Consider the following 21,546-nt stretch of genomic DNA (forward strand, 5'->3'; position numbering starts at 1 on the left):
TATTGGGAGAAGGTGTTGGCAACCTTTTGAGTGGGCTGTGATGTTGCCAATGTGTTTTTCCAACAAGGTAAGGATGAGACAAGATAAAGGGCAAGGAAGGGGGAAAGGGTGCTGATGTGGACACAGAGAACGTCTCCCTCTTGCTGTCCTCCCTCTGCTTTCCATCAAGGTCAAGTGTCTCTTGTAAACACCGGCAGGGACAGTTCAATCTGCCCATCTCTGACACTTGGGTCTCCCTTTCTGTGACCCGGGAAACAGTCCCACGGAGAAGCCAGGACCCTGGGCCTTCTCCCTGGGGGCTCTTTATGCAGGTCACTGCCCCACTCCCTGAACTCCGAAACAACAGAGCTTACGTCCTAGGAAAACCTCCCAGAGATGGCTCTAGTCCCCAACATTTTTGCAATTGCAACATTTCTTATCCTATAATAATACAAAAACTTCCACATTTAAATGCATTCATTCAACAGAGGCCAACTTCAGCACATGCACTTCTGGGGCACTTGTGTTTACAATGGGGACAAAACAAGACAGTTGGTGTCCGTGGGCAGCTTAATCCTAGTCATTTTAATGCATTTTGCTTTCAATTAGCTTTCTCTGAATAATTCTATGACCACATTGAAATTGTGAGTGACATCCTGAAATATACCTACACTGGATCGTAAACCACAGTGAAAAAAATATATAAATATCGCCCTTTCCAGAAGCTCATGTGTACTTAAAATGAAACCAAAAAAACCTAAATTAGGTATTCACAGATACCCTTTTGAGAAATTCGCGAGAGCAGCAAAAGTACATTGACATGCGTATTTCTGACCCCATTTGATGACCTGAAACATTTCCTCCCTCTTCATTTTCTATTGCTGAACCACAGTATTTTCCTGTTTGGCACAGATCAAGAACACAGGTCTTTCTCTTTTTTCGTTTTTCCCACTGAGGCTATGAAATTGGCCATTCAGTTATTATAGTAAGGATTAGTAAGGACATTTCAAACACAACTAATTAAAGAAGTGTTTTCTGAAATTAAGATATTTTTGTTTAATTACATTAGAAGGAACTAAATATAATATGGTATAGATAAAAATAGACAGAATTACTCAGAACTGAGGGAAAAAATAAGTAGTGAGAAAATGTTAATAAGATCTGAATGCCATCTTCGTGGCATTTTTCCCTAAACTTCATCAGTTGGGAGAAAACTAAATCTTCAATATTAAAAACAAGTCTTATGAGCAAAAATTACTGTCCGGTCACCCTCCAGAGCAGGGTGCTGTCTAAACAGAACTTTCTGTGATGATGGAAATGTTCTCTATCTGTACTGTCCCTATAGCCATTAGCCCTAGGTGCCTATTCAAATTTAAATTAACTAAAATTCAATAAAATTAACAATTCTGTTTTTCAGCGACAGTAGCCACATTTTAAGTGCTCAAAAGCAACACATGGCCAGTGTCTACCATATTGGACAGCACAGTTCTAGAAGCCAGGAAAGAAGGTTAAATACACAGTGAAAATACACACCCAAGGTTTTCCAAACATAAGTAGAAATGGGAAATTTTTCCCGAAAGACCTCTATGGAGCATGAGAAGAAAGGTCTACTTTGTATCATCTGGAGGATTTTTTCCTCTTTCCATCAAGTTTCAGCCAATAATTAAAACAAGTTAGCAATATTTTTCATCCCAACACCTTGTGTAAATTCTTGTCTTCCCCCAAAGAGTTCCCTTGATATGCGTTTTACACACCGTCTATAGAAAAAGCACTTTCCAAACACCCAGTGTATGTTTTTCATGTAAATTCACTTTTCTGATCCTTTTAGTATATTTATAATGGAAATTCTCTCTACTTAAAGCCTATCTATATCTTAGCAACCACAGTTTCCAAAGCTATTCCATGAAGCAGGTTTCTCTATTTACTTTTGTCTATTTGTGTAGCCCAGACCACGCAATAAGATTTTCAAACTGGCCAAAACACATGAACATAGACAAAGTCCTTTATTGTGTGGGTAACCCTTTGGAATGTCTTATTCCCTATGAGAGCTGACATAAAGCAGGAATTCAAATGACAGTGGGTCAAAACCTGAGGGCCAACTGCAGATTTCAGCCTACTTTACAGTCCGTTGGCTATCATAGCTTCCATATGGGCAATAGTGATTGTTTATGAATTAATCCATGCAAAATATATCAAATCTAGTTGGAGAGGATTTTTGTGGGAGAGAAAAGGTACCCTTCCTTCACCAGCCTCGGCTTCATGCTAAAGTATTTCACAACTACAGTGTTTTCATAAGCTTAGAATTCAAATGAGGCCAAAAACTATCAAAAGCAACCTGCTATCTTTACCTGACCCAGAAGTTTACAAGATTGAATTCCTAGAAATTATTGGCTTTATTCTTCTGGAGTCTGCTCAAGTCTAGATAGGCAAGAAAGAACCTAACAGATCAATGCCTCTTAAGGGAATTGATCCCTTCTGCCCAACTTCCTGGGCAGAGTGGCCTTGAGTGAACCATATTCAGAATTAGCTCCTGTGGAACCTGACTATGGATAAGTATGTTAATAAATACATTACATTTTTGAAAATTATGTAATGCATTTTTTTGGACACAGGGCACTGTTCATAACTGTATATATGCTTTACCTCTAATACAATTACTACTATAATTTACTTCCTAAGTTGGTTTCTGTTTGGTTAATATACACATGTGTTAGCTCCAAGATAACTGAAGAGCATTTTCATGCTCACCAAGCCAGCTCCAAACCAAGCACAATCCCAAATCTGAACTCTTATTCCTAAAGTCAAATCAAATCAGATGGGTCCCATGGGAAGAAATGAGATATGTCCAGGCCAACATCATGATTAGACCCATCTCCAATGTCACACTCACAAGTCAGTTTCCTAACCCACTCAACCCAACATTTTACCTCCAAAAAAGATGACACAAGATCATGCTTGAAACATATGGGGAAAGCATAAGCATGAAGTTTTAAAAGGCAGGAGAGAGAAAATGTGTGTATTAGGCATTCAAACCTACTACAGAAAGAGGTTTCTTTTTTTAACTTTTATTTTAAGATTTTAAGTTCAGGGATATATGTGCAGGTTTGTTACATAGGTAAACTTGTGTCATGGGGGTTTGTTGTACAGATTATTTCATCACCCAGGTTATTAAGCCTAGTACCCATTGGTTATTTTTCCTGATCCTCTCCCTCCTGCCACCCACAACCCTCCACTAGGCCCCAGCGGGTGTTGTTCCCCTCTATGTGTCTCTGCGTTCTCATCATTTAGCTCCCACTTATAAGTGAGAACATGTGGTATTTGGTTTTCTGTTCCTGTGTTAGTTTGCTAAGGATACTAAGGCCTCTAGCTTCGTCCATGTCCCTGCAAAGGACATGATCTCATTCCTTTTTACGGCAGCATAGTATTCCATGGTGTATATGTACCACATTTTCTATATCCAGTCTATCATTGATGGGCATTTAGGTTGACTCCATGTCTTTGCTATTGTAAATAGTGCTGCAGTGAACACATGTGTGCCTGTGTCTGTATAATAGAATGATATATATTTCTTCCTTTGGGTATATACCTAGTAATGGGATTGCTGGGTCAAATGGTATTTCTGTCTTTAGGTCTTTGAGGAATCACCACAAGAGAGAGCCTTCTTTACAGGGAAAGCAAGCCTGGGTTTGAGGAGGTGACGGCAAACTATCGCTCAGGACCAAATCTGCCACCTGTTTTTGTAAATAAAGTATTGTTGGAACACAGCCATGCCTGTTTGTATATGTATTGTCTATGGCTGCTTTCAGGGTAAAATGGCAGCTTTGAGTAGCTTGGACAGAGACCGTGTAGCCCATAAAGCTGACAATATTTACTATCTGGATGGATCTGTACAGAAGAAGTTTGCTGGCCCCTGGTTTAGAGTTTTACATTTGCTGAAAACAGTAATTATTGAACAGTTTCTTTACGTTTGCCACAGAGCACCATTTGTGCCTCGGTCTTAAAGCAACCCTACATCTCATCACTTTGCTGCCATAAGTTCTGAGAACAATTATTTCTTTGTTAACATTTGGTAAACTTATCTCTAGGGACATAAAAGAAGGTTGGGAACATCTCTGAGGTTTAATTTCAAAACACGTTGAGTTTAACATGGGGATTCACCAAGTGCTGGTAGCTAGAATAATGATGCACTTATCCAAAGACTTTTCAAGGGGAGGTTACTGACTAGTGCTTTGTAGTACAGGCCATGAGAGTAAACATGAAAAAAATGGGCATAATTCCTTTTCCAAGTTTTAATCATAAATGATCATTTTTTTAAAGATTCCAATAACTTGCCCACTAAGAAAAAAAAAAGGAAAAAAAATGGGGGAGGGAGATAACGACACAGTGGTTTTGTTCTAAAACAGTCATGTGCAATGTCATGGTGCCATCTACAGTATTTCAATATTTTCACCCAAACACCAGAATTTGAAGAAGCCCTATAGACACATATCTATTTATTGAGGGAGAAACGTTTTTCTAGCACAACAGTATAAGAAGGCTTTAGGCTAAAATTTTCTCTGTGGTCACGGTCTTCTGTCTTCTTCTCCTATGAACCATTTTTAAGTTTATTCCGTTTCCTGACAACTTCTTAGTTCCCATTGTGATAGTAAATATTAAAATTAATGAATGCGCTGTACCTGGTAGGAGTGCAATGAAACTGTTCAAAAATGTTGGGATTTAGTATCTGCTCACGTTCACACAAACACAGTCACTATTGTCAAATGCGCTGCAGTGGTGGAGTGTAGCAACAGGAGGGATGAGACCCAAAGGTCTGAAAAGCCAGTATTTTAAGAAGTCTTGGAAAATGTGGAGGTTGAAAAATCTAACAGGAGTGCTTGCTTCAGCAGCAATTTAGAGTAGATTAGCATGGCCTCTGCGCCAGGATGACATGCACATTCCTAAAAGTGTTCCGTGTTTTAAAAAAAAGAGAGAGACAGAATCTAAGGGGATGTGTACATTTGCTAGAGCTACTATAACAAAGTACCAGAGGCAGGGTCACTTCAACAACAGAAATTTATTTCTCACAGTTCTGGAGGCTAGACGTCCAAGATTAAGGTGTTGACTGGGTTGAATTCAGCCCATAACAGGAAATAAGGAGTTAAATAAAGCACTTGCTTCTATTGTTTGTACCTAAACTTAACAGAACACAGTAAGTAACAAGTCATTGGGATGCAGAAAAGAAAAAAGAGAGTGAAGGAAGGAGAGAAGGTGAAGGGAGAATGGAAGAGAGGAAGGGAGGGAGGAAAGAAAAGTTTGATGAATGATTGCAGTCTAAACTGGTTCAAACAAGAGATCTTGTTTAATTAAGGAATTCATCCCATCTCTGCCTATTAGGAGGAGGAAAAAGTCTAAAATAGAAGATGGTGAAAGTTGGATGACCCCAGGCATTAAGGCCATTCATCTTTAACTGTTATGCTTGGATCATGCAAATGTGTCTGGTAGCTACAAGGGTTGCTGTGGGTACTGAATGTTTTATTGTTCTGAGACTATCAAAGAAAATAGCCATGGGACATATAGACCACAGAATACTATACAGCCATGAAAAAGAACAAGATTGCATCCTTTACAGAAACGTGGATGGAACTGGAGGCTGTTATCCTCAGCAAACTAACACAGAAAACCAAATGCCACATGTTCTCACTAATAAGTGGGAGCTAAATAATGAGAATTCATGGACAGAAAGAGGGAAATAGCAGATACTGAGGCCTACTTGAGGGTGGGGGCTGGGAAGAGGGAGAGGTTCAGAAGAGAAAAAACTATCTGATACTATGCTTAGTACCTGGGTAATTAAATACTCTGTACACCAAACCCCTGAGTCATGAGTTTACCTATATAACAAACCTGCACATGTACTCCTGAACCTAAAATAAACATTAAAATATTTTACAAAAATAAAATAAATTAACAATTAAAAAAAGAAAAAAATGAGACAATAAATAGATCCTGGGAAAAACTGTCCCCAGAAGTGTTCTTTTAAATTTGCACTACAGATGTAATCCAAGTTGAGTAAAATAGAAAAGCATGGATTTGCTGTTCCTGAAAGTCATTCATGGTTAATTGCCGAACACTTTCATCTGCAGTGTCTGTGGAAGGGTAGAACCTTAAGTAGTTTTTCATTCTCTGACTACTCAACTAGAAAGGCATAAGAGGCAACTCACTCTATGATATCTCACTGTTTGGCCTCTCCTGTTTCATAGTAGCAAAGGATTTTTGCACTTATCCACTAATTTATGATTTCTTCTTAATAAAGGAAACAAGAGCCTCTATTTATTATGATTCCTGCCATGTGTGAGGCTTGAGCTGGGTATTTTACATACATTATTTCATTTGATAATCACCTTTTCAAACTCTTCAACCACATAAATGCATTACAGAGAGCTATTTTAGATAAACATGGTTATAAATATGTAAACTATATAAAACCATATGTTAGAACCATTCTGTTTCATGCTTTTAGAAAATCTTACTATAGACCATAAATTAAAAACAGTAAATTATAAACCAAACACTTTTATGGGGTTTTTTTGGTCTTGCAGTTCTAGCTGAAGGAATACTGCACTTTAACTCACATGCTGATTAATTTTATTCACAAATTTTGAATTATAAAATGTGTAGAGTCACAGACAATTCAATTTTTTCAACACCCATTTTCCCAAGACAATAACCGAAGTATACATACAGTAGCCACTATTGGCAAAAAATGTATTCCTCATTTATGGAAAAAGTGCAAATAAAGAAAAATTGCTGTTTATAAGCATAATTCCAATGACTGCTGCGAGTGGGAAGCACAGTGATTTTGTGTTAGATCTCTAAGAGCTTACAAGATGGAAGCTTGTGGTGTAAGCATTTAGTGGTGCAATACTGTCATCTCGTGGTCAGTATGCAGTATTTCAGATTTAGTTGGAGAAAATGTCTGAAAATCGTTAACGATATTTCCAGTCTCCTTTCACATACTTACTCCCCAGAGAGTCTGATTTGTACACATAGACATGATAGAATCGGCTTGTTATTTAAACAAGCAGATGGATGTTGTATGAGATTGTTCCAGGAGTTTACTGCCTTAGACCCGGACGAGAGGGGCCCTGCCCTGGCCCCGTCAGTTAGAGGGCTCAGCTTTGACCTCTCCTGCCTGTACCCCTCTCCACAGATCAAGAAGTCCTCGGAACCAAGAAAACGCCCATCCAAAACCAAGCCCTTTTCTTCCCTTTACCTGCCCTCTATCTCACCTCACCAGCAGTTCCACTTTCCTGCATCTGGATGAATGCTCTAATGCTCTCACGTTGCCTGAGGTTTCATGAATAATAGCTGGCTGCCACTTCCCAGATATCATTTGCATTTGAGCAGCTTCCCGACATATAACACACCCCTTCCCAACAATAATAATGATGAAAGGAATTTTGAAGATGCAAAAACAGCCCCATGGAATAACTTTTCTCACCCCCTTCAAATCCTATCCCAGCATGTATACAAGAACATGTGAGCACTTTCCAAACCTTAGCTCTCCGCTGCCACCTTCAGGACGATTTCAGTAACCGCAGATACTGCAGCTGCTTAGCTAAGAAACATTAACACTCCCAGACAGAGAAACCTGGCTGAATCCTGAAATAGAGCCAGGTGAGAAAAAAGTGGTCGGCATTTAGTTTATGGTATTTAGCAAAATCTTGTAACATATTTTATTGGATACTCTATCAAATAACAGAATAACAATAGCTAACACCATATATAATGTAGACATGTGTAAGTAATAAAAACTGATAAAACGTTTTGTTTTATATGTATAACAAAACTATATGAATATAAATAAAAATATGTATACATCCTACAGTAACAACAGCTGATATTTATTTGGAGCTTTTTCTGTGGCAGGCAGTATTCTGTATACTTCATCACTGTAAATATGTTTACATGTTTTGAAATGTCTCAATAACAACATGAGGTACATACTACTCTTAGTATGTTCCTTGCCCGTGGGGGACTCCTGTCTTTGCAGTGAGTCAGAAGATAATGACATAAAGCATAGACATAGCATTGCCCTGCATTCATTCAACAAATATCACCGAGCACTGAGAATGCAGAGATCAGTAGGACAAGCAAGTTCTTTGCTCACGACCATGTGTGCAGGTAGGGAGATGAGCAACGGAAAATAAATATTTTTAAGGGAATATATGAGTGATAAATGTAGCTTATAAAATGTATAACTATACTGGAAATCAAAATAGGGTGACGTGATAGAAAGTGACTGAGAGGCTATCATACATTGAGTGGTCCAAGAAGAGTTGCTATTAAAGTAGGGCCAATCTAAAAAAAAAAAAAAACTATATGATGATCTATGGAGAACATTCCAGAAAGATATGAAGAGCTAGTGCAAAAACTTTGAGAAGGGAAGCATTTCAACATACTTGAAGAACACAAATAAGGCCATTGGCAGGGGTGAGAAGGGAAGGGAGAGGGTGGAAGAGGGAGGGCTGAGAGCCAAACACAGCCACAGCATGGAGGGCTTGATAAGCCAGGGCTGTGCAATGAGGTTTTTTACCAGGTGGGAAGAGAAGTTCTTAAAAGGCTCTGAGACTATCAAAAAGATCACTCCGGCTGCTCCATGGAGACAGGAATTTATGGTGCAGAGAACGTAGAAGCAAGATACCTAGTGAGAAATCACGTGCAATATAGAGGCTCAAGAGACACCACCTTTGACTAGCAATGGAAATGGACAGATCTAGAAGATCCAGGTTTGTTGTGGCCATGGAGTCTACAGGTGTACCTGATGTTTTCAATGTGGAACAGAAGGGAAAAGATGAACTGAAAGTCATACTTAGATATGGGAATTGCTATGACCTGGGAGGAGAAAGTTTCTGGGTGGCGAGAAGCAAATCTAGAGTTGTCCTGCAAGGCCCGGATGGAGGAGCCCATTCTGTCTTCCTGTTTGACCGCAGTCCAGCTATTGGACCTCATGGAGCCCTAATGTACTTATCTGTAAAAATGCAGGAGCAGGTTCCTGCCAGATCAGTTTCTCTGAGTCTCGTGGGATTTAATTGAAGTTGACACAGAATGACTTTAAAACCTTCCAAGCCAATGGCTAATGATGAAAATACATATGAAAATTAATTTGGGGGATCCTGTGCAGAGGAAAACAAAATAGTTCTATTCAACCCTCAAAGGAAATGTCCAGAAGTGAAGATGAAGTTATCTTTCAGAGTTCCAATACTCCTACCCCACTACCTGTTTAAAATGGACTTTTATGTTACATAATCCTGAAAATGTTAGGAGTCAAAATTCCTCTAGATAAATGTGGTACACATATACCATGGAATACTATGCAGCCATAAAAAGAAAACAAAATTGTATCCTTTGCACCAACGTGCATAGGAAATCTTATCCTTTGCACCAACATGGATAGGACATCTTATCCTTTGCAACAAGGTGCTTTCAGAAGCAGGATGAGCACTGCAATTGAAGGCTAAGAGGAAATGGCTCTTGGCCAATTTAACTGATCAGTCTGTAAGAAATTAAAAGGAACATAACCAGAGAGAGATAGGGTATCTCTTATGAGAACATCAGAGGAGCGTCTATGGCTGTGTAATGTTGACATTCTCTTCTCAACGTGGATGCAGCTGGAGGCATTTCCTAAATGAATTAACACAGGAACAGAACAGCAAATACCACATATTCACACTTCTAAGAGGGAGCTCAGTATTGTGTATGCATGAACATAAAGATGGTAACGATGCTGAGGACTACTAGAGTGAGGAGAGAGGGACAGGAGCAAGGGCTGAAAAGCTACCTATTGGCTACCATGCTCACTACCTGGGTGACAGGATCATTCAAACCCCAAGTCTCAGCATCACACAATACAGTCATGTAGCAAACCTGCACATGTACCACCTGAATCTACAATGAACATTGAAAAATGTAAAATAAACATTGAAATTATTTTTAAAACAGAAGCATAAGAATATAAATTAATAATGATATTCACCTTTTACTATACCTTGGTAAAAAATAATTATGAGTTCAGTTTAAAAAGTCTTCTAGATAACAAAAGTATCATACTGCTTTTAAATAAACATGGTAGGTTGGAGTAAGTTCTTTTTCATTTGGCAGTGACATTGCTCTTCACACAAGTTTCCATCAAGTATTGAACCACTTGGGCTTGATTCTTTCCCTCAAGTTACTTTTGAAGGAGTCTGTGAGGTTTGGGGATTATTGCTGTGATATCTGGGTTTTCTAAAGAAAATTCCAGGAAACCAAAAGGATTTGGGACAAAGCATACATGAACAGGAAACAGAGACATGGAAATAAATATTCCATCTTCTGGGAAAACATGCACCATTATCAATTATATGGAGCTAATCTTCATTTTAAAAATTGGTTCATCTTTCCATTGTCAGAGAGAGATTACAAAGATTGGTAATATTCCTGCCCTGTTCCTTAGAACTTTTAGAGAATTTCCATTTTCTAGTTTGCTTTCTCCAAAGACTTGGAGGTCAGCTGAACTATTCATATTACCAAACTCACGGGGATATGTGTCCCACCAACTGACCCATATTTGAGCAAATTGATCTAGATTCTTGATAAATATTATTGCCCAATAAACATCACATACTTTTAAGATCTGGGTTTAACATATTATCAGACCTTGGAGACATGGCTCCTTAGATCCCCAGAAGCAGAGTTAATTTAGCTAACCAGTGGTGAGCTGCATTCTGCTGTACGAGTTTGCTCTACCTCCTAATGTAGCTATAATATTTGTAGGAGATTCCAGCATTGGCCAAAAGAGTGGACTACCCTCCCTTTATGATTTCTTGGAACCCTAAAACTTTATGAGACTATGAATATGACTAGGAACAAGGAGATGATTTTCTTCTCAGTAGTGAAAATCATTATATATACATATATGTCTTTATAATCCTAATAGCACAACTTATATTGTTACTATGTTATATGGGCCAAGCATTGTTCCATGCTCAAATTAACTCATTTAATTCTCATAAGAACTTATGTGGTAAATACTATTATTATCCCATTTTTAGAGGAGGAGATTGAGGTAGAGAAAGTTGAAATGATTACCTCAAAGTCAGAGGATCCAAAGTACCTGCCCATCTTAAGATAATTTGAAAGTATAAACTTGTTTTCTGCCATGAAGGACACACAGCCAAAATTCCATACAAAATTCCTAACAGCCCTGTCACTTTTTTAAATGTGCAAGAATCCAATCAAGAAGTGTGAATACTGATACTGTTCAGCACTTGGTGACCTTGAACTTGATCGTCAGAGTATGATCCTCTAAAAGGCAATCTGTTTTAACATGGTCTTTGCTCACAGCACAGGAGGATAGCAATTTCAGGAGCAGGATGAGCACTGCAATTGAAGGCTAAGAGGACATGGCTCTCGGCCAATTTAACAGATCAGTCTGTAAGAAATTAAAATGAACATAACCAGAGAGAGATAGGGTATCTCTTACGAGAACATCAGAGGAGTGTCTACAGCCATGTAATGTTGACATTCACTTCCAAAAACTGGCATATTCTCTAAAAGGACAGCAAACTGGATTGACATGCCAAAACCACTAGTTGAAAAATAAAAATAATCCGTTATTAAGTCAGTTGTTTTGTCATTGCTATTTTCACCAATCTAATTGAACAGGCCAATGCTTTTACAAGAAGCAGACAAGTCACTCATCTTGAAGTTTAGGACTAATAGCTGAGTAAATGCTTCTGAAATACACAGAGAGTAGACTAACCAACAGTACTCACAACACAGTGAATAAATACACTAATATATGTAGAAACCCAGGCATATATTAGGTTAAATTAAGAAAAGAGAAACACATGAATATCCTATAGAATGAGATTTGAGGAGAAAAATCTTCTAAATATGAAATTAGGTTCCCTCATCATATTTAATTTTTAGCTGTAAGTAATCTATTCTAAGACCACAGTGTAGAACATCCCAGTACAGACACACAGTTTAATAATTTAATAACTTCAGAAATAACCATAGATGTCAACTAGGCCAAACCCATTTCACAGAGTAGAAAACAAAGTCTCAGCTGGGAGCGGTGACTCATACCTGTAATCCCAACACTCTGGGAGGCCAAGGCAGGCAGATCGCTTGAGGCCAGGAGTTCGAGAACAGCCTGGCCAACATGGTGAAGCTCCATCTCTACTAAAAAAATATAAAAACTAGCTGGATGTGGTGATACACACCTGTAATCCCAGCTACTCAGGAGGCTGAGGCAGGAGAATCACTTGAACCCAGGAGGTAGAGGTTGCAGTGAGCAGAGATCGCACCGTTGCACTCCCTCCTGGGTGACAGAGCAAGGCTCCATCTCAAAAAAAAAAAAAAAAAAAAGGCAAACAAAGTCTCAGAGAAGTTAAGCAATATTCCCAGGCTCATGCAGTTCATTAGTGACACAGCCAACTCTACAACCTGGTTCAGTCTTTCACAAAAATGAAAGAAAGAATTGTTGGCAACAGAAATGCAGTTGGGCCTAAAATGTTGTGATACAGAACCTTTCAGCCATCTCTTCTCCACTCGCCATGTTTAGAAACTTCAGAGAGCATTAAGATACATTAGTTCGGCCAGGTGCGGTGGCTCACGCCTGTAATCTCAGCACTTTGGGAGGCCGAGGCGGGCGGATCACAAGGTCCAGGAAATCAAGACCATCCTGGCTAACAAGGTGAAACCCCGTCTCTATGAAAAATACAAAAAATTAGCCGGGCGTGGTGGCGAGCACCTGTAGTCCCAGCTACTCGGGAGGCTGAGGCAGGAGAATGGTGTGAACCCGGGAGGCGGAGCTTGCAGTGAGCCGAGATCACGCCACTGCACTCCAGCCTGGGTGACAGAGCAACACTCTGTCTCAATGAAAAAAAAAAAAAAAAGATACATTAGTTCACTTTCATGACACAGAGAGATCCTAAGTTACTCACTACCTAATACTTCTAAGGGGTGTGGGTTTCTTATCAACTGCATGAATTCTTCCTAAATGATCTTGAAAAGAACCCACTATCATTCTGAATGTTGCTTGGAAACATATCTACTGTTCAAAGTAACTTTGTTGAGCTTAGAATTTAAACAGAGGAAGATTAATGTCAGAGCATGTACCATGTGCAGATTAAAAACTCCACTGTGGGTTATTCCAGAAGTAGACCAGAATTTTTTTCATTTTCTTTTTGAAATCGTGTGTCTAAAACCAGCAGTTAGTTAAGGGCAGAAGAGATGTTGCAAATGAAGATTTAGACAGAAAAATTTCAAAGCCAATTTTTAACATCTACGTTTTGTTCAGAACCACCATAAGCAAAAGTTTTTTGTTTGTTTGTTTGTTTTTGAGACAGAGTTTTGCTCTTGTTGTCCAAGCTGGAGTGCAATGGCATGATCTCGGCTCACCGCAACCTCTGCCTCCTGGGTTCAAACGATTCTCCTGCCTCAGCCTCTTGAGTAGCTGGGATTACAGGCATATGCCATTACGTCCAGCTAATTTTGTATTTTTAGTAGAGATGGGGTTTCTCCATATTGGTCACAGGCTGGTCACCCGCCTCAGCCTCCCAAAGTGCTAGGATTACAGGCATGAGCCACCATGCCTGGCCAAGATTTATTTTTAAGAAAAGAAAAAAAAAATGTTTGTTTTATAGACAAGAAATTGGGAAAGAATAAATTGAACAGAACATAAAACCCTTTCACTGTCTAAAAACAATTGGATTAGTCTCTGGTTCCCACTTAAGTTTTAAAATCTCTAAAATTAAAGTATCATGTGAAAGTCATGAAACCAGTTTTTAATGTACATTTTCTCAATTCCTGTTTGCCAGTGAATAGACTAATTGTCCCCAAACCAAACAAAGTCCAATCTTACAGAGCTAAACAAACAGAAAATCAAAATAACTGGAAGGAGCATCATCATCTGGTTATCTGGTCATCATAATAACCAGAGAGTGAATCAACTGATCCCAGGATAGTCCAAAGGACCAAACAAACAGCTGTCATTCCAGTTAGTAGTACCTCACTTGACGGAGCACATCATAAAGTCCTTCTAAGACGTTTCTAATCAAGGTATGTGAGCCTGGCTTCCAACATACCTCAGAGACATAGAAATGCCCTATGATAATCTTGATGCTTCTTCCATAGTCATGTCTTGAATACTATTATTCTTGCAATATAGTATATGTTTTCTTCCACTGTCATAAAAAAATGGAAATGCTTCAATCTCACCTAAAGACAGACCCTTCCAGCTGTGGATACTGAGTGTCCACACACAGCGAACAGAGCCCTGGGTTAGCCATCAGGAGAACAGGGACCACTCTCAACTCAGTCTTTTCCCAGCCTTGTGTCCTTAGCAAGTCTCTGCACCACGTCCTCATCGGATGGGGGCAGAAATGAGAGAGAAAGGGATAAAGCCAGCTCTACATGCCTCTTGAAAAGCAGAAGCACTACAAAATGTAAGATATTATTGTTGTTACAATGCAAAGGGTGAAGCCAGGAGCACCCCACTGTCATGACACAGAGGGCCACGGCAGAGGCCCATGGGGATGTGGGGCAGGTATCAACGGATGGCCTGTGTGCACAGTGAGCCCATCCTTCTCCATTCGTGCTTGGCATCATGAACCACGAATGGTTCTTCTTACCCCTGAAGAACCATTATTGTTAAGTTCTGCAGTCCCTGCTATGGAAATGAGGCTGTGGTGATGCCTTGGTGCGATGGCTCTTAAGCAAGAATGGTTCTCCAGGGTTAAGAAGTAGAAGGTACACTTTGGAAGGCCAAGATGGGTGAAGCACTTAAGGTCAGGAGTTGGAGACCAGCGTGGCCAATATGGTGAAACCCCATCTCCACTAAAAATAACAAAATTAGCCAGGCATGGTGGCACGTACCTGTAATCCCAGCTACTTGGGAGGCGGAGGCAGGAGAATCGCTCAAACCCAGGAGGCAGAAGTCGCAGTGAACTGAGATTGCACCACTGCACTCCAGCCTGGGCAACACAGTGAGACTCTGTCTCAAAAAAAAAAAAAAAAAAGTAGAAGGTAACGCACATGTTTACATTTTTCCAGAATCCTTAGTGCCTGCAATACTAGAGCATGTGCTTTCTTGCATATGGCCAGAATAGATCATCTGGCACCTCCCAGAGTTCACCCCTAACTCCCAGGGTCATTATGGGAGCAGAAGGATTGACATTCTCAATCATCATTGAAGAAAGGATGCCCCTAAAGAGAAAATAATGCCCAGTACATCATAAATCCTACCTCAGCTTTTAAGGCAGGTGATTTGAATCCTCAGCAGTAACTTCATCTCTAAGGGTAGCCATTTACAAATCTGAGAGTTAGCCATATACAGTAATGTGAAAAGAAACACCTTTCACAAAACAGCACTATTTCGGAAAAAGAATTTATTCTGCTTAGTTTTATGAAATTCTTTTCTATAACCTACCTATCTACTATTTTTGTCTAGATAGAGATTTGGTCCTTTCAAACACACGTGCACACGCAATGCCCTCCTGTCTCCTTTTTTGGGATGCTCCTCCATCTAAAAAGGCAGTGGAATTCCAAAGGTTACTAAATATACTCTGGCTTTTTCATGGCGTGCAATAATAAAATAATGCTCTCTTTTCATCTGTTTTTGTCTTTTTAGGTAAAAGTATTTTTTCAGGAAGGAACTTTCTAAGATCATTCAGTACGTGTTTGGAGTGAAGCCCTGTTCATTTTCATTTCTACAAATCTCATACCAGAAAGATCTAATGCAGCCCCACTCCTATGTGTAGCTTCCATCAGTGTCAATGCCAGAGAGGCCCAAGGGCCCCCTCGCACAGTTGAGTATATAACCTCATGAGTCCACAACTTCACTTCCCCGAGTGAAGAGAAGAATGGAAGTGAAGAAAAGAATGGAAATTCAATCGGTACCAGCAGACTGTCAGTTCCTCCAGTAGCAAACAATAAATGCATCTGAGAAAGTTCTGGTGAACCAATCAACAGGGGGGCTTTGTTCTGAACTTGGCGGAGCCTACCTCGTGCCTTGTAAATGTCAGTGTGTGTACGTGTGAGGGTCTGACATTACTCAGCAGCACATACCAAAGGCCAGGAATTTGGCAGAGTGAGGCTGATTACAATGCCTAAAAATATTCTGTTTTATCAAAATCTATTCTGATGCCTTTTAGCATGTGGGCAAAATGCTAGAGCAGCAGGCTCTTTAGGAAGCGGAAATTCTGAGAGGCGTTCCAAATATCCAAAACGACACAACCTCATTGTGTAAGAAGTAACCCTTCAGCTTAAATTCTTGTTGTTTGTCTATTTTTATCTCAACAGAATTTTTTTTTGTAAACCATGTAAGGCAATGATCTCTCCTTTGTAAACATTTATAAAATGTAATATAATTTATTTAACAAATAATTATTGAGAGCCTATTATACACAAGGCACTTTGTTGGGCTTAACAGGGACTATAAGGTCAAATAAAAAACTGTTCTTATTTTTAATGTGCCTGCAATAAGAAAAGCGTTAAGACCTTTCCTGAGAATGAGCTGCTCTGGGCAAGGCAAACTGTGATCCAGGCTTTAGAAGAGGCAAGAAGCAAGAGCTAGGGAGAAACGGACAAGGGAGGAATTAATTTTCTGCTAAGAACTGGCAAAGGCTTCTTGAGGGTTGTGGCATTTTGATGTGGGCCTTTCAGAGTAGATAGAGTTGGCCAGGCAGAGCTGAGGAGTGCTCTAGGCAAAGGCAGCAGCATGGGTGTGTGCAGAGATGGGAAGTCCAGGGCAGTAGAAGAATTCGTGTGAGGTCTTCAGAGGTCTTCATCATCACCAGGGATAGGATTTTTCCAAAATGAGAAGGCTAATGGCACCTAGAAAATGTACTACAGTGCGGTAGACTCTAAACAAAAGGAAGGGTATCATTTCTGTGAAACTGCCAAAGCCACAAGAGTGATAAATTAGGCCGGAGGGAGGCAAGGCTTAATCCTCATTTGTTGAACATGTTAAAAACATGTGTGTCCACCACGTACATGTACACACAAACACACTCTAGGCACGCCACCTTATAGCAATTCTTCCTTTTTCAGCAACTGATGTACTCTTTGTCCTGGGTTTTAGTTTAGGTAGCTCCCTCTCATTACAGATTGACCAAGAAGCTGCAACTTATGTTTCTACCATAGAGTTTGTGGGAGTAAATACAAGAGGTGTGATGTCTATCTTCTGTGGGAAGAGCTCTGGAAGGCTTGCTCAGGAATCACCTTTATGTTTACCTGTAAACTGATACTTAAAGAATAATTGTCTAGCAATTGTGAGGAAGACTGATTGCCAAGTTATGACACTACCAGATAGAGCCAGCCAGGTGCTACTGCATAGCCATTCAACAAACAGTTACTCAGTGCTCACTGTCTACACAGGTATGAGGCGATGAAAATTGTGCCTGAGAAATGCCTAATAAGACAGAAATAAGAGCAACGCCATTTCTGTGTGTGAGAGAACAGGACTGGTCAATCTACTGATGGATTGCAGTCTCTCTCTTATACCCAGATGCCTATATGCATATACCCTTATACCTATATGCACGAAGAAGAGCTAGAAATAAAGGATATATTCTAGCACAAAAGGTATATTGAACCAAACATTAAAATATATGTGTGAGCCCAATTTTCACATTTCTAAGGCCAGAATTGTAGCAGCTGAAGTCAAGTAACTTCTGATCATCGGCACAGTTTTCATGAGTGTTCTCCATAACTCCCTAACTCAAGAAGACAGACACAAGGCCAGTTCTGGCATTTGGTTCATTACCAGTGGCCACAGATATACTTTGTTTTTCCGAGCAACAGGTGAGTTGTTCAACCATGCATTCCCTATGAACTGTGCATCTGTCTACCCTGGGGCCACCTAATGTCACAACCAACCAACCTTAGCCAACAGCACCACTGATGGCTAAACCACTTAGTGGTTTAACTTCCAATCTCTTCCTCACTGCACCTTCCTACAGAGGCAGATCATGCATATACCATGTGCCCAGTTTTTCTGTCTTTCCCCACCCTCTAGCCATTTACTGTCACTTCAGGCGGCCTTTTTTCACACTTCACTCTCTACTTCATTCCATGTAGAAAATGATCTCAGGAAAATCTCCATCCATTCCAACCATAAACCAAAAATTTATTTTATTCTTTAGCTCCTATTTGAGTCTCACCTTGTATTATAAAACACATTAAATATGTATCATTTCACTTGATTCTCCAAACAACCTTGTGAGATAGATATCACTTATCACAATTTACAGAGAAGACAAGTGCCTTTTGCCAGAGAGTTTAGCTAGTAAGTGAAAGAACAGGTCTACAAACCAAGGCCTCTTGATTCCCAAACACTTTGTCCTTCTAGGGTAAAACAATAGTACTAATGGTTCACCTGCTATAAATAAGAAAGGAGAATTTTTACATTTTGACATGAAATTAACATAAGAAACCAAAACTTCCAACAGCAATATCATGTAAAACTATTCAGAAGTCTCCTTCAGCATCTAGACAATGTTCTGACTTAGATAGCTTTTTCTCAAGAAGGGTGTCTAAGATTGATGTAATCAATGCTATTTTCTACTTATGGTAAATAATTCACTTAATAACTTTTGTTCTATCATTCATTGCAAATACAATATTTTAGTTTCATCATGTTGTACATGGAATAGCCTGGATAGTTAGTATTGCTTTGAACTCTACTACACATACTGCTATTCTTGCATTAATTTATTCAGCAAATGTCTATTAAATATTTTCTATAGTAAAGATGCTACACCGTACAGTATTAGGAATATCAAATTATGCCAGCACACTCTAAGTCGATCTATTTATAAGGTGTCATCCATGCTTAATTCAGGTATCATGTAAGTGATTCAAACTAAATGACAGGAATGAAGAGAACCCAATTATGGTTAAATTTTTTAAATAATAAAACCAATTGGCACATTTTTATGTATTTATAAGAATATTTCATACCATGGGAGCAGAATGGAGGAAAAGATGAAAGGGAAACAAATTTTAGTTTGTTTCCTTAAAGAAATATATGTTAGATTTTCTCATTCCTGCCTGCCCCATTCCTCTGTCTGCTGAACAGAATCAATGATAGCAGCAGCCGAGATCCCAGTGGACCCTCTGGCCAAATGCAGCTGCATGAGTAAGCCCAGGTAAAGACAACAAAGGAACTCCCCTGCCCAAATACAGATGTGTTAGTTTTAAATTGTTTAATTTAACTTTGTTGTTTAAATTTGTTGTTGTTAAATCACTGTTGTCTGCAGATGAGAAGTTGCAGGGTAGTTTGCTACACAACAATCGACAGCAGATAGAACAAAACAGAATTCCCTAAAGACTGCAGGGCCAGAAGAAAGAATTGAGTTGGTCAGGACAAAAGAGTGGATAACAGTACTGACTAGGATAAGCGTAGACGTAAGGCCAAGAGGGGGTTTCCATGAAGGAGTGTGAGGAGGGCATTCTGGGACAGCAGAAACAGAGTTTGTTCAGGAGCTTTTCCTGGGTATAAGAGACAGACTGCAACCAGAGGAAATACAGCAGATAAGGCTATGCATTAGGAATGAATTTCTCCATTCCATCATTTTCTCAGTAAACTGAGTAAAGATCTCAATTGCTTTCAATTGTTTATTATAAATGAAAATTTGCTTTGAGATTCATTTTAAATATGCATTCTCAGTAATTCTTTTTACTTTAGGGGCAGAGGATGTATAACGGATGATTTTCCTCTTAGCCATATGGAAGAGTTGGACAAATAAACTAAGTAAGATTCTAAGAAGAAGGAAGATTAAATACAGCTAGATTGTGATCCTAAGACAAAAATGAAGGAGCTAAGGCATGCAGACTAGCTGGTCAGTTATTTGCTGACACCTTAGTATTCTAGTGTAGATGGAAGACTGAATAGGAGGCCAAGAAAACAACAGAACAAGAAAGGCAGGAGCCATGATTAAGAATGAGTTGCTCTGTGCAATCATGTTGGGCGGGACAAAAAGAGAAAGTCAATTTTTGGACTTAAGAACTAGAAATTAAGAGGCAAATATGATCATAGCAAAGGAGTAAAAGTAGAAAGGAATCTGGAAAAGACAAAAAGGAAGTTGGTCACAACACTAACTCATCCATCGCAGAGAACCAGAGGAGTTGGCAGCAGATGAGGGAAAGGAAATCCGTGTGGCAGTGAGGAGCTCAGCAACTGGCACAAGAGAGAACTATGAAGTTGGAGAAAACTAAGTTAGGAAGGGCAACGAGCAGAAGAGAAGATGACTAAGAAGAGAAATTCTTAATAGTAAGGCAACAAGAATAAAACCAACGTGCTCTTAATAATATGTGTGTTGCATTGTATTAAATTCTTTGGAACACTTCCCATGAAACCCGATCCTCAGGCATGAAAATAACATGTCAAACCTCCCCATGACAGGTTACCTAAAAATAACTTCCAGGTACCAGGGGAAGCTGGTGAATAGGCTGGAGCTCAGTGATTTGTGGATCTAGATAGGCTTTTTAGATCCAGAAAGTACACAATCCAGCAATTCATTCCAAGTTAGAGAAGTATGTATGCCTGCTGCGGCCCCTCTCCAGGGCTACCAATGTCTGCTGCACTCTCACTCCTGGTAGTCAGCTGAGTAGTCTGGCATAGCTGGTTTTCAAAATGCAATTGTCACAATAAATGGATAGGTGCCCTCTGATGTCCCTTTGAGATCCAAAGTCCTAGGATCAGGGCCAGCTTTCTGGGCATGCAATCTGTGCATTTGCACAAGGCTCTGTGCTCCAGTGGGTCCTGCACTTGGTTTAATGCTCAGCTGCTACCATCTTAAAATTCTTGACAGTTTATTAGCAAGATCCCAGCATTTTCATCTTGCACTGTGCCCAAGGGCATGGGAACCCACCTCTTGCATCAGTGTGACCTGGATGTGAGACATGGAGTCAAAGGAGCTCATTTTGGAGCTTTACGATTTGACTGCCCCACTGGATTTCAGACTTGCATGGGGCCTGTAGTCCCTTTGTTTTGGCCAATTTCTCCCATTTGGAACAGCTGTATTTCCCAATGCCTGTACCCCCACTGTCTCTAAAATGTAACTAACTTGCTTTTGATTTTACAGGCTCATCGGCAGAAGGGACTTGCCTTGTCTTTGGTATGACTTTGGACTGTGGACTTTTGAGTTAATGCTAAAATTAGTTAAGACTTGGTGGGACTGTTGAGAAGGCATGATTGATTCTGAAATGTGAGGACATGAGATTTGGGAGGGGCCGGGGGTGGAATCTCATCTTGAATTGTAGCTCCCATAATTCTCACATGTTGTGGGAAGGACCCAATGGGAGATAACTGAATCATGGGGCAGTTTCCCCCACACTGTTCTAATGATAGTGAATAAGTCTCATGAGATCTGATGGTTTTGTAAGGGATTTCCTCTTTTACTTGGCTTTCATTCTCTCTTGTCTGCCACCATGTAGGACATGCCTTTCGCCTTCCACCATGATTGTGAGGCCTCCCCAGCCACGTGGAACTGTGAGTCCCTTAAACCTCTTTTTCTTTATAAATTACCCAGTCTCGGATAT

General features: G+C 39.8%; 1 protein-coding gene and 1 pseudogene across 1 annotated transcript in view, besides 2 other annotated features; one reads left to right on the forward strand and one right to left on the reverse strand.

The window, feature by feature from the left end:
• The window catches only part of HEMK2 (HemK methyltransferase 2, ETF1 glutamine and histone H4 lysine), a 309,770-nt gene that overhangs the window by 162,757 nt on the left and 125,467 nt on the right, over positions 1-21,546 (reverse strand). The window lies entirely within an intron of this gene.
• Positions 4,253-4,547: a silencer, noted in NCBI's record as "tiled region #7516; K562 Repressive non-DNase unmatched - State 13:Ctcf". NCBI's record gives its function as "represses a minimal TATA promoter and a strong SV40 promoter by Sharpr-MPRA in K562 cells {active_cell/tissue: K562}" and the evidence as "EXISTENCE:reporter gene assay evidence [ECO:0000049][PMID:27701403]".
• On the forward strand, positions 4,838-4,937 carry LOC124905067 (uncharacterized; annotated as a pseudogene).
• Positions 7,257-7,346: an enhancer, noted in NCBI's record as "active region_18322". NCBI's record gives its function as "activates an Ori minimal core promoter by ATAC-STARR-seq in GM12878 lymphoblastoid cells {active_cell/tissue: GM12878}" and the evidence as "EXISTENCE:reporter gene assay evidence [ECO:0000049][PMID:35858748]".

This window comes from Homo sapiens, chromosome 21 (assembly GCF_000001405.40).
Source record: "Homo sapiens chromosome 21, GRCh38.p14 Primary Assembly".
Taxonomy (NCBI): Eukaryota; Metazoa; Chordata; class Mammalia; order Primates; family Hominidae; genus Homo; species Homo sapiens.